Genomic DNA, 12,810 nt, shown 5'->3' on the forward strand with positions numbered 1-12,810 from the left:
GTGTACTAAGCTTTCAGAAATCAGGTGCCTGTACTCAGAGCACATCTCAGTACGGATTTTGCCACATTTCCAGTATTCAATAACCACATGTGACCAGTGGCTCCCACATTAGACCAGGCAGGCCTAGAGCAAATAAAAGCACCGGAAGCACCCAGAGACACCTTCTCAGTGATGGCCATTTAAAAAGTAATGTTAGACACAAAAGAGTACTTACCTGATGATCTTGTTCTATGAAGTTCTAGAACAGTCAAAGCTAAGCTATGATAACAATCAGAACCGGGGTTGAGTGCGGGGCCTGGGGTGGATTGACAGAAAGGAGGTACCAGGGAACTTTGCAGGGTGAAGGAAATGGTCAATGTTCACTTTGGGATAATGGTTACAGGAGTGTATAATTTGTCAAATCCCGTCGATTTGCACACTGAAAATGGGACATTTTGTTGTATATAAACCATACATACAATTCTTTTTTATGTTGCCCCCAAAAAAGCTATTCTGTAGCAGCAGCGTAGTTCGGCACTATGCGCCCTAACCATCTAGTACGGGGAAAACGCGGGGGTCGTTGTTTAAGGGGTGCACTGGGACCGGGGAGAGGACAGAAAGGCCATGTTACCGGCGCTGATCACCAGCCTCGCAGACCCCCGCTCGGGGCTTCACTTCCGCCAACGCCATCTCAGGGCTCTCCTGGCTCCCGAGGGCCGGGAGAAGTGGGGATCCGGGTGCGGGCGCTGGCGCGGGCGGAGGCGGGAAGAAGCGCGTCCCGGGGACGCGCGGGACAGGCTCCAACCGCACTGGGCACGGGCCAGCGTTCCCCAGTCCCCGCGCCACACCCGGCAGCCGAGGTCTGCGAGCGCGGGGCTGGCGGCCGGACCCGACTCAGCGCTGGGCAGGGAGCCGGCGCCATCAGAGAGCGGACAAAGGAGCCCGGCCCCACAAGTGCACCGGGGCTGGGGGTGCAGGGCGGAGAGGCCCTGGGGACGAGGGATGGCCCGGGCGCCGAGGCCCTGGGGGTCTGGGACAGGCCCAGAAGGGAAGTTACCTGCGCGGTGGTGGTAGCACCGGGGAGGGTGGCCGGTGGGCACGGCGGGCTCCACCCCGCGGCTGGCCTGGCGCTCACCTGTCGGGCTGGGGAAGGGGTCGCTGCCGGGGCTGTCCAAAGCCGCCCCCGGGATCTTCCCACCGCCCACACGGGCCTCGGGGTGCGCGGCGCCCTCCTCGCCCACCTTCCCCTCTCCTCCCTGCTGCTGGCCCAGCTCACTCACGCTGGTGAGCTTGGGGTTTGCACCCGGGTTTGTGCAATGGTCCAAAACAAGCGCCTAAAAAGTGATTCCTCCAGCACAGGCAGCTCCCGTCACCCTCCGCTCTGGACGCACTGGGCCCCAGGCCTCGCCCAGCCCGGGGACCGCTCCTCCCTCCCGTGGCTCACTTTGCAAAGGCACTTCGAGTGCGCGGGTGAACTCCACGCTTCCCGGGGAACCCCGGCTTCCTGGCAAGCCGAGACCCTCGCTCGGGTCCTCCCGTGCAGATCTCACCCTTGTAAAGAACTTCACTGGTCACAAACGCTTGTGGATCCCCTACTACGCCCCAGGAACTGCAGGAGCGCTCAGGAGAGAAGGAAAAGGAAAGAGAATGCCTGCCTTTGAGGAGCTAGCTCACAGTCTGGTGGGAGGTCCACCCGTCTGTTGGAACCAGTAAGGTTCCCTAGAACAATACTTCTGCAGCAAAGAGTTGCGGGGGTGCAGTGAGGGGAGGAAGGCAATTAAGGCTTCCAAGAGTGACTTTTTTTTTTTTTTTTTTTTTGAGACGGAGTTTCGTTCGCCCTTTTTGCCCAGGCTGGAGTGCAATGGCGCGATCTGGGCTCACTGCAACCTCCGCCTCCCGGGTTCAAGCGATTGTCCCTGCCTCAGCCCCCGGAGTAGCTGGGATTACAGGCGGATGCCAAAAAGCTCGGCTAATTTTGCATTTTTAACAGAAACGGGGTTACATCACGTTGGCCAGGCTGGTCTCGAACTCCCGACCTCAGCTGATCCTCCTGCCTTGCCTCCCAAAATGCTGGGATTACAGGCTTGAGCCACTGCACCCCGCCCAAATACTCTAAAAAGTCACTCTTCGGGTGACTCACGCCTGTAATCCCAGCACTTTGGGAGGCCAAGGCAGGCGGATCACCTGAGGTCGGGAGTTCGAGACCAGCCTGGCCAACGTGGTGTAACCCTGTCTCTACTAAAAATGCAAAATTAGCCAGGTGTGGTGGCACCTGCCTGTAATCCCACCTACTCCGAAGGCTGAGGCAGAGAGAATCGCTTGAACCTGGGAGGCAGAGGTTGCAGTGAGCCGAGATCAGGCCACTGCACTCCAGCCTGGGTGACAGAGGAGACTTTGTCTCAAAAAAAAAAAAAAAAAAGAGTATTGGAGGATGATTGGTGCTGGGAACGGATACAGGAGGTTTTTCGGGTGAAGGCAAGAAGCCAACCACTGAAGGAAGCTAACATGGACAACAGAAGGGTCTGAAGTGAGATGGAAGGTTTTAGGAAAGTGGTGGAAATTTCGCATAACCAGTGTGAGATGCTAGAGCGACAAGTTAGACAAGAGTCACTGAAGACCTAGTGGAGTTTAGAAACCATCATCGTGTAGTGGTGTCCAGCTATAATCTGCTATAATCTGGCAAGGTATCTACAGAAATATAGCTCTTAGTTATGAAACCCAAGTTTCCTGCTTGCATAGAATAGAAGGACAAGAGGGTGAGGAGGTGGAGGGCACAGAAAGACTGCGATTGCAGTGATGGGCCAGAGCTCTAGTCCTAGAGGACAGGAACTGTTAATAAAACCAGCGGGGAGCTGATGGACTGGGAGACAGATGAGAGAAGGGCTCCAAGGCCAGGGCCTCTGAGGAGAGGACTGGCAAACTGGCAGCAGAGAGTGTGGTGCTGGAGTTCAGGCCTTCAAATGGATATTCCAGGAAATGAGACAGTTTGGGGTGTGGCAGCTACAATGGAATAGAAAAGTGAGATGGGCATCACTGGCCTTGGGTTTAGTGCCCACAAGGCTGGTATGTTGGACATCGAGGGTCCCAAAAGGATGGCAGGAGGTGGAGGAGTCAATCGAGGTCAAGGAACTTTAGAGAATTGGGGTTGCGGGGTGGGTAGTGAGCCTGAAACTAATAGATGACTGTGACAAGGAAAGGGAGAAGGTTGCAGAACAAATGTCAGTGCCTTTCAAGACACAATGGAGGCCTGGCGCCATGGCACACCCCTGTAATCCCAGCACTTTGAGAGGCTGAGGCAGGCAGATAGTTTGAGTCCAGGAGTTGGTGACTTACCTGGACAACATGGCAAAATCCTGTCTCTACAAAAAATACAAAAATTATCACGTGTGCTGGCATGCATCCCAGGGGAGGCTGAAGCAGGAAGGTCGCCTGAGCCCAGGAGGTCAAGGCTGCAATGAGCTATGACCGTGCCACTGCACTCCAGCCTGGACGACAGACTGAGACCTTGTCTCAAAAAAAAAATCAATTAATTAATTTAAAAAAATAAACACGACCAGGCATGGTGGCTCACCCCTGTAATCCCAGCACTTTGGGAGGCCGAGGTGGGTGGATCACGAGATCAGGAGATCGAGACCATCCTGGTTAACACGGTGAAACCCCGTCTCTGCTAAAAATACAAAAAATTAGCCGGCCGCGGTGGCGGGTGCCTGTAGTCCCAGCTACTCAGGAGGCTGAAGCAGGAGAATCTCTTGAACCCGGGAGGTGGAGGTTGCAGTGAGCCCAGATCGCGCCATTGCACTCCAGCCTGGGCGACAAGAGCGAAACTCCATCTCAAAAAATAAAATAAAATAAACACAATGGAGTTTCTCCCCACCAAGGATGAAAGAACAGTGTTGTGGAGGAAGCAGTAAGGAACTTGGAACAATGATGTCAATTTCTGGGAAAATAAGCAGACGCTTCACTCAGCAGGGTAGCCTTGGGGGAGATCCAGGTCTCCATGGGTGTTGGGGGGTCCAGGGGAGGGACAAGGAACCACCTTGTCAAAAGGCTAGAGGCATAAACAAGTCTTCCAGAGGGCTCAGGGGAAAGAATGTTTGTGAAATGGGTTGGTATGGGTGCTAATACTTAATACCTGCCGCATATGTAAGGTTTCCTTCCACAGTTCCGTCTTTCATTATCTTTTTAGAACCAGGACAGTTGTTATGATCCCCTTTTTAGAATGAGGGACCTGAGGTTCAGAGATGTGAAATGTCTTGACCAAGGGTACGTTAGTTAATATGAGTGGCAAAGCCAGGACATCAATGCACAGCCAGACTCCACCACAGGATGTGAGGCCTGATCCAATTGTCCTATTCTATTCATCCATGAGGCTAATGGATAAAAGATAATCTGTATATACAAAGGGCTCATTATAATAACTATTGTATTATTAATCTCAAATGGGAAAAATAATGAGCTGGAAAACAAATTTGATAACAGGGTGTGGATTGACTGAATTGTGTGGGATAAGGATGTATCCTCATTCAACAAGTGTCAGTTCATGGCCCACCACCAGCATAACATCTTGCTGAATCCGCACAAGATGATTTTTTTTTTTTTTTTTTGAGGTGGGGATTCATTCTTGTCGCCCAGGCTGGAGTGCAATGGCATGATCCCAGCTCACTGCAACCTCCACCTCCCGGGTTCAAGTGATTCTCCTGCCTCAGCCTCCTGAGTAGCTGGGATTACAGGCGCCCACCACCACGCCCGACTAATTTTTGTATTTTTAGTAGAGACAGGGTTTTACCATGTTGGCCAGGCTGGTCTCGAACTCCTGACCTCAGGTGATCCACCTGCCTCGGCCTCTCAAAGTTCTGGGATTACAGGCATGAGCCACCGTGCCTGGCCAGATGATTTTTTTAAAATGAAAATGAAGCCCATCATTAAGTTGATTGCTTATGTTCTTGTTTTGTAATCTTTTTTTTTTTTCTTTTTTTCAGTCGGGGTCTCGCTCTATCACCCAGGCTGGAGTGCAGTGGCACGATCACAGCTCACTGCAGCCTCCAGCTCCCAGGCTCAAGCAATCCCCCTGCCTCAGCCTCCTGAGTAGCTGAGACGACAGGTGCAAGCCACTACACCCAGCTCATTTTTTATTTTTTGTATAGACAGGGTCTCGTTATGTTGCCCAGGCTGGTCTCAAACTTCTAGACTCAAGCAATCCTCCCACCTCGGCCTCACAAAGTGCTGGGATTACAGGCATGAGCCACTGTGCCCAGCCTAATCTCTTATTTTTAAGAATTCTACCTTTCAGAAGAGTTGTAAAACTGTCTATCCCTTGGTGACCACAGTGTTCACCACGATTTTGAGTGTACCTTAAGATAAAGCAGAGTAAGGCTGAAAGGGCTGGGCCCTATCTCTGCTGTGGGAAGGACCAGCACTATACTTCTTTTGCAAGTGAGGGAACTTGAGGGGCAAAAGGATGAGTAAAACGTCAAGTTTAGGCCGGGTGCGGTGGCTCACTCCTGTAATCCCAGCACTTTGGGAGGCCAAGGTGGGTGGATCACCTGAGATCAGGAGTTCGAGACCAGCCTGGCCAACATGGTGAAACCCCGTCTCTACTAAAAATACAAAATTAGCCAGGTGTGGTGGCAGGTGCCTGTAATTCCAGCTATTTGGGAGGCTGAGGCAGGAGAATTGCTTGAACCCAGGAGGCAGAGGATACAGTGAGTCGAGATTGTGCCACTGCACTTCAGCCTGGGCAAGACAGAGTGAGACTCCGTCTAAAAAAAAAAAAAAAGTCAAGTTTATTCACCTACTAGATGGTGGAATTAGAAGCCCATCCTAGGCTTCTCACTCAAATTCCAGGCTCTGTTCAATCATACTTGAAGCAAATATCCTATTCCCGAAAGTCTCAACCACTTTCAGGTTCTCATTGACTTAATAAAGCCTAGAAAGGCATTGATCCTAAGACATCTCCTGACTTCAAAGCTGAATCAATACTTGGACTCTAAAAACAGGCTGGAATGTCATCAATGCCACTGAACTGTACACTAAAAAAAATTTATTTTTACTTCAATTTAAAATATTAATAGTGTAATACACCAAAAATATATACCATTGAATTGTACACTTTAAACAGGTGAATTGTTTAAATCTCAGCTGTTTGGGGGAAAGAAAAAAACAGGTTGGGCTTGATAACCTAAAATCCTGGACCTGAATAAAATATAAATATAAGTCAGGCTGGAAAACTGGACAGCAGGGAAATCAGAGTTGTAATCAATTCCTCATGTATTCCCTCAGGTCACCGGAACTGTCCTCCTCTTCTCAAAATAGTTGGGGAGCAAGGAATCATGGATGTCCTTCCACAATTAATGACTGAAGACTGTGCTTGGGAAATGTGTCCATGAACTCCCTGCTCTGAAGGGGTAGTTATGCACATCACTAGTTTTTTGTTAGTTTTACATGTTATTGTGGGAAAAGTTAAAAATATAAAAAAGACAAATGTTTAACTACCCAGCTTCAACCCATGGCCAGGCTTGTTTCATCTATATCCCCCCCCATTCCCCCCACCCCCATCCTGTATTAATTTGAAGCAAATTCCAGACGTGGCATCATTTCTTTTTTTCTTTTTCTTTTTTTTTTTTTTGAGACGGAGTTTTGCTCTTGTCATCCAGGCTGGAGGGCAATGGCAGGATCTCAGCTCACTGCAACCTCCGCCTCCTGAGTTCAAGTGATTCTCCTGCCTCGGCCTCTCGAGTAGCTGGGATTACAGGCGCCCGCCAGCACACCCAGCTAATTTTTTGTATTTTTAGTACAAACGGGGTTTCACCATGTTGGTCAGGCTAGTCTCAAACTCCTAACCTCAGGTGATCCACCCATCTCGGTCTCCCAAAGCGCTGGGATTACAGGCGTGAGCCACTGCGCCTGGCCCAGATATGGTATCATTTCTTTGGTAAAATCTCAATATGTGCGGTGGATAAACAGATGGATAAACAAAACGTGGTGTATACATACAAGGGAATACTATTCACTCTTAAAAAGAAATTGACACAGCCTTGAGGACATTATACTAAGTGAAAGAAGCCAGTTACAGACAAATACTGAATGATTCCACTTATATTAAGGTATCTAGTCAGATCCATAGAGACAAGAAGTAGAATGGGGGGAGGAGGGGGATGACAAGGACAGGAATGGGGAGTTGTTTCATAGGTAGTTTCAGTTTTGCAAGATGAAGTTCTATTTTTCTTTTTTCTTTTTTTTTTTTTTTTGAGAATGGACTCTGCAACCTCTGCCTCCCGAGTTCACGCCATTCTCCTGCCTCAGCCTCCCTAGTAGCTGGGACTACAGGCGCCCGCCACCACGCCCGGCTAATTTTTTTCTATTTTCAGTAGAGACGGGGTTTCACCGTGTTAGCCAGGATGGTCTCGAACTCCTGACCTTGTGATCCTCCCGCCTCGGCCTTCCAAAGTGCTGGGATTACAGGCGTGAGCCACCGCACTCGGACTATTTTTCATTCTTTTAATTGCAAGATGAAGAGTTCTGAAGATTGATTGCTCAACAATGTAAATGTACTTAACAGTACTGAATTGTACACTTAGAAACGGTTAAGATGGTAAATCATATTAAGATGGTAAATTTTGTGTATTTTACCACAATTAAAATTTTGTAATTTCACAATTCCTTAATTTTATCAACTACCCAGTGTCCAAATTTCCAGTTCTTATAATAAGTATCATACTATTTTTTTCAATGTGTTTGCTGAATTAGGATCCTAATAAAATGCACAAGGGGCCATGTGTTACATCTCTTAAGTCTTTTTTAATCTATAGGTTCCCCACCACACTCCTCTCTTCCTTGCAATTTATTTGAAGAAACAAGGTTGTCTGTCCTGTGGCTTCTCATAGTCTAGATTCTGCTGACAGCATCCCATTGTGTTGTTTAACACCTTATTCTGTCCTCTTATTCCCTGTTGGGCTTGGCGGCTTTGGGTTAGTTTTGAATTGGGCTCAGGAGGAGGCTAAAGACATCCAATTCTGCGGGAACGCAGCCCTGCGGGACCTGAAAAGGCGAGACTAAGTCACCAGCCAAGCTGCCTAGAGGCAATCTTAAAATGGGACTGGCTAGGACTGTGACAAAGACACCGTCCACATGCCTACTAGGTCAGTCACCTACAAAGCTGGCGAATGAGGAAAAGAGGGAAGGCAGGGCTACGCTGGGAAAGCTCTTTGTCCCCTATCCACGCGCACAAAACAGTTGTCACAACTGACGTCACCAGGGGCGGAGCCTTTGGACGGAAGTGACGCTTGCGCGGCCGCGGCGGAGTCGTCATAGAGGCGGGGCTGCGGCGGCTGCGGTGTTCCTCCGACTTCCGGACATCTCCCTGGGAGTCGCGCAGAGTGGAGTCAAAGGCAACCAGTGCTCGCTGCGGTCTCTGGGGATCGGGACCGCGGCGGCGGCCCGCGAGCGGGATGTTCCGGGGCTTGAGCAGTTGGTTGGGCTTGCAGCAGCCGGTGGCAGGCGGTGGGCAGCCCAATGGAGATGCTCCACCCGAGCAGCCGTCCGAGACGGTGGCTGAGTCTGCGGAGGAGGAGCTGCAGCAAGCGGGAGACCAGGAGCTCCTCCACCAGGCCAAAGACTTCGGCAGTGAGTCTACCCTGGCTCTGGGACCGGGAAGGGGGGGGCGCATTCCTCCTCTGGGACGGCCCTGGGGCGCGGGCCCGACTGGCTGGGGGATGAGGGGGCCGAGGTGGGAGGCAGGGGAGGAAGATGTGTCTGTCGGTCAGTCCTCTCCGGGTCGGGAGAGATTGGTGAGGATCTGGACGAGGCCAGAGCTTCATCTAGCAGTCAGGTCCTGTCCCTGAAGTTCCTGGTGACAAGTCTACAAAGTTTGCAGACATTGGAATCAGGTATGCAGTCAAGCAGTGTGACCCGACGTCTTCAGGTTTGACAAGGAATCTTTTTTGTTCAACTCGAAAACCTTCATTTACACCCCCCAGATCGGGGATAGTTGGCGAGCTTGAATTGGTTGAAAAAATAATTTTTTGCCCCTAGGTCAGAACGTGTTGTCTGAAGTAAACTGACAGTTACTGAATGTCAATGTCTGCCCCGGTCAAATGCTTTTTAGGTACAGAGACCTTTTTCCTTAAGGAGGGAGAGAAAATGCCAACTGTCTGCTATACGCAAGTTGCAGTACTAGATGTTTTATGAAAGATATCCCATTTCATCTGTTAAACACCCCCAGTGAGTTGGGGGAACAAGCCCAGAGTTATTGGGCCAAAGTTATACTGATAGTGAGTGGTAGAAGTGGAATTTGAGCTTCGATCTTTCTCATTTTAAAGCCCGTGCTCTTTCCAAGTTTACAGTCTACAGGGGTTGGGGGACAGGTGATAATAGACGTGGAGTAAACACATGCTGTAGTAATTCTCATTTCTGGAGAGACCATGGTGGGCTTCAGTGATCACAGAAAGCATCTTTGAGGCCGGATATGGTGGCTCAGGCCTGTAATCCCAGCACTTTGAGAGGCTGAGGTGGGCGGATCATGAGGTCAGCAGTTCGAGACCAGCCTGGCCAACACGATGTAACCCCGTCTCTACTAAAAATACAAAAAATAGCCGGGCGTGGTGGCGGGCACCTGTAATCCCAGCTACTCAGGAGGCTGAGGCAGGAGAATCGCTTGAACTGGGGAGGTGGAAGTTGCAGTGAGCTGAGATCGCACCACTGCACTCCAGCCTGGGTGACAGAGCAAGACTCCATCTCAAAAAAACAAAACAAAACAAAACAAAAAAGCATCTTTGAGGAGGTGAGCCCTAAAGCAGCCCAGCACTACAAGTGAGAGAACTGCAACAAAGGTAGATACTAAGTTCAGCAACATTTGAAGAATCTACTAAAAGATGGGGGTGGGGGGATGGGGGTGGAGACAGGGATGTGGGAGGAGAGCAGCCTGAGAGTAGATAAACACATATTTGAGTAAGAAAGGGCCGAACAGTTTTTCTGGAGACAGGGTCTCACTCTGTCGCCCAGGCTGGAGTGCAGTGGCACGATGTTGGCTCACTGCAACCTCCACCTCCAGGGTTCAAGTGATCTTCCTACCTTATCCTCTCCAGTAGCTTGGATTACAGGCATGCCCTACCACGCCCAGCTAATTTTTGTATTTTTAGTAGAGATGGGGTTTCGCGATGTTGGGCAGGCTGGGCCCTAACGTTTAAAAGTTTACTGTGGGATGAAAGGACAGGGAAAACAGACATAATCTCAAACCATGACAGTGTATAATCTCAGCCCAAGGCCCCCAGATAGAATAGTCTTGCTCTGTCGCCCAGGCTGGAGTGCAATGGCACGATCTCGGCTCATTGCAACCTCCACCTCCTGGGTTCAAGCAATTCTCCTGCCTCAGCCTCCTGAGTAGCTGGGACTACAGGCACACGCTGCCACACCTGGCTAATTTTTTTTTTTTTTGTATTTTTAATGGAGACAGTGTTTCACCATGTTGGTCAGGCTGGTCTCAAACTCCTGATCTCAAGTGATTCACCCACCTTGGCCTCAAAGTGGTGGGATTACAGGCGTGAGCCACCGTGCCTGGCCCCTCTGAATATTTTCTAATAACTGCATTTTTCATATGGATGTGTACTTTGGAGCTAATGCTGCCATCTTTCTGCTCACCAGATTCTCTTTTGATATTTACGGAAGCTGAGGTTAGATGGAAGTACCCACAAACACACACACATTGTGAATTTAAAGCTTCAGAATAAATGAGAATTCTTTCTTTTCTGAAATTTATGTGATTTTAGAAAGTCGTAAAGGTTCTAGTTCATATACAAACTGTGAGAGACAAGAGAGATGATCAGATATTTTTTATTTCTACATATTGATCCTAAGAAGTATATTGTCTTTAAGAAGACCCATTTATGTTTTGAAAACTGGAATTAAACATCTGTGAGCCTGACTCCCAGAGTAGATTCATTTCTTAAGTCTTTTGAAATCTACATAAAATATCAGCCGGGTGCGGTGGCTCACGCCTATAATCCCAGCAGCTTTGGGAGGCCAAGGCAGGCAGATCACGAGGTCAGGAGATCGAGACCAGCCTGACCAACGTGGTGAAACCCTGTCCCTACTAAAAATACAAAAATTAGCTGGGCGTGGTGGTGCGCGCCTATAATCCCAGCTACTCAAGAGGCTGAGGCGGGAGAATCGCTTGAACCCGGGAGGCGGAGGTTGCAGTGAGCCGAGATCGCGCCACTGCACTCCAGTGTAGGTGACAAAGTGAGACTGCATCTCACAAAAAAAAAAAAAAAAATCTCCTGGGAGCCCCATTTGTTCTGCATATATTTGTTGAGTGCCTACCTTCAAGACTGGACACTAAATACTTCCTGGTTCCTGGTGACCTATTTATACATTCAGGCAACTCACCAGTTAGTGGTGGACACCCAGGCCTGCATTCCACTCCCTCACTCAAAACCAAACCTCCTGGTCTCCTGATTCTTGGCCCTCCCTCCTGATAAATTTACAACCTCCGATTGTCACTGTCTCCAAAGGAAGGAACAATTTATAGGAGAACTCACTTAAGAGCTCCTCCCTACCTCCCTCAAGGCCCCATGCCGTTAAGTTGGTTAGTTGGTTTTTGTTAAAGTCAACCAAATTAAAGCTTTGCCTCTACTCTTTCTGAAAAAAATAAATAAATAAAAAGAAAATCTGTACTTCTGAGAATGTTAAATATCTGAATCAGTCACACAGTTTACATCAGTGGGAGGATGGCCAAAGATGAGCTTTGTGATCTTTAGCTTTTTCTAAACCGCCCCTAAAACTATTCCATGCCTAGGAATGGGGAAAGGGCCACCTCCTCCTCCTTTGAAAAGTGCTATTAGTATTGCAGTGGACCTGTGTTAGACTGTCCTCCTTTTCTTCTGTAGGGAAAGTATATTTCAAGTTCCAGCTGCCTAACTTGCAAACTAAGAGGACTCCTAAAGTTAGAGTGTACAGAGGTGACTATGTACCTGCTTTGATGTGGGAGTAAAATATCTAATTGAGTTCTGATAACACACCCAGGTTTACAATGCACAGTCAATAGCTTGGATCCTAGGGCTTATGAACAATACTTTTTAAAATTGGGGATCTCGATTTGAAGAAGAAACTTAGGGACATTGCAGAAAATCTGAAAGGTCTTTTGCAGAAAAGAAGTCGTAGATGTTCCTTATGAGGATAGACCTGAGGCTGTGGGGTAGAAATGACTAGAGAAGTGAGAAGAATTTTCTGATTAGAGTTGAGTAACAGTAATTACTGGCTGCCCTTCTAAGTCCTGTGCTCCCTACCCCTGGAAGTGGGGCTACCTGGATAGGAAGGTCCATTCCCACACTAAGATGCTGAAATTCTAAAATTGTATGAAATATAGTATCTTTGAAAAATTAACCAACTACTTTATAAGAATATTAATTTCCTAAGACTTTGCCACTGTATGCTTATTCTCTTCCTATTCTTGCGGCAGGCCTTAAACTCTACCTTGCTCTGTGTTTACTTTAACAAATTTATGTTTTTTCTGACCTTTGAAGCTCTTCCTACTTTACTTTATTCTTACCATTCCTTTCAGTTCTTCAAGCCCTTGTCAACTTGCTCAACTGACCTGAGGCAGCGTGGGATTGGAGCATGAGCTTGGGATTTAGAGGCAGATAGCCTGTGTTTGAGTTCCCTACACTACTTACTGTCTTTATTGTTATATCATTTGCAAATTACAGAAAGTCCAGTGATCAGAGGCTTAATGAAAGAAACTTTATTTTTGTGTCAGGGAGTCCCCAAGAACCATCCCCAGGTTTGATGATTGGCTAGGAAGACTTATGGGACTCAGCATATAGTTGTATTCATGGC

At 48.5% G+C, this 12,810-nt stretch overlaps 2 protein-coding genes across 9 annotated transcripts in view, besides 3 other annotated features; one reads left to right on the forward strand and one right to left on the reverse strand.

The window, feature by feature from the left end:
- CTPS2 (CTP synthase 2) overlaps positions 1 to 1,612 on the reverse strand; it is a 124,912-nt gene extending 123,300 nt beyond the window's left edge. For 2 of the 7 annotated variants that reach the window (NM_019857.5, XM_006724503.4), the window contains exon 1: positions 1,424 to 1,612. The gene's annotated coding sequence lies outside the window, so the exon portion shown is untranslated. Of the gene's footprint in view, positions 1 to 214; positions 920 to 1,036; positions 1,372 to 1,423 lie in introns of those variants that run through there. The other 5 variants (XM_047442261.1, XM_047442260.1, XM_024452408.2 and 2 more) reach the window with 5 other exon arrangements.
- Positions 824 to 1,093: a silencer, noted in NCBI's record as "silent region_20678". NCBI's record gives its function as "represses an Ori minimal core promoter by ATAC-STARR-seq in GM12878 lymphoblastoid cells {active_cell/tissue: GM12878}" and the evidence as "EXISTENCE:reporter gene assay evidence [ECO:0000049][PMID:35858748]".
- Positions 1,154 to 1,243: a silencer, noted in NCBI's record as "silent region_20679". NCBI's record gives its function as "represses an Ori minimal core promoter by ATAC-STARR-seq in GM12878 lymphoblastoid cells {active_cell/tissue: GM12878}" and the evidence as "EXISTENCE:reporter gene assay evidence [ECO:0000049][PMID:35858748]".
- Positions 8,124 to 8,183: an enhancer, noted in NCBI's record as "active region_29454". NCBI's record gives its function as "activates an Ori minimal core promoter by ATAC-STARR-seq in GM12878 lymphoblastoid cells {active_cell/tissue: GM12878}" and the evidence as "EXISTENCE:reporter gene assay evidence [ECO:0000049][PMID:35858748]".
- The window catches only part of SYAP1 (synapse associated protein 1), a 45,729-nt gene continuing 41,232 nt past the window's right edge, over positions 8,314 to 12,810 (forward strand). For both annotated transcript variants that reach the window (NR_033181.2, NM_032796.4), the window contains exon 1: positions 8,314 to 8,601. Coding sequence is in view for 1 of the 2 variants with exons in the window: in NM_032796.4 (NP_116185.2) it covers positions 8,427 to 8,601 (175 nt within the window). In the remaining variant the exon portion in view is untranslated. The remainder of the gene's footprint in view (positions 8,602 to 12,810) is intronic.

Source organism: Homo sapiens, chromosome X (assembly GCF_000001405.40).
Source record: "Homo sapiens chromosome X, GRCh38.p14 Primary Assembly".
Classification (NCBI taxonomy): domain Eukaryota; kingdom Metazoa; phylum Chordata; class Mammalia; order Primates; family Hominidae; genus Homo; species Homo sapiens.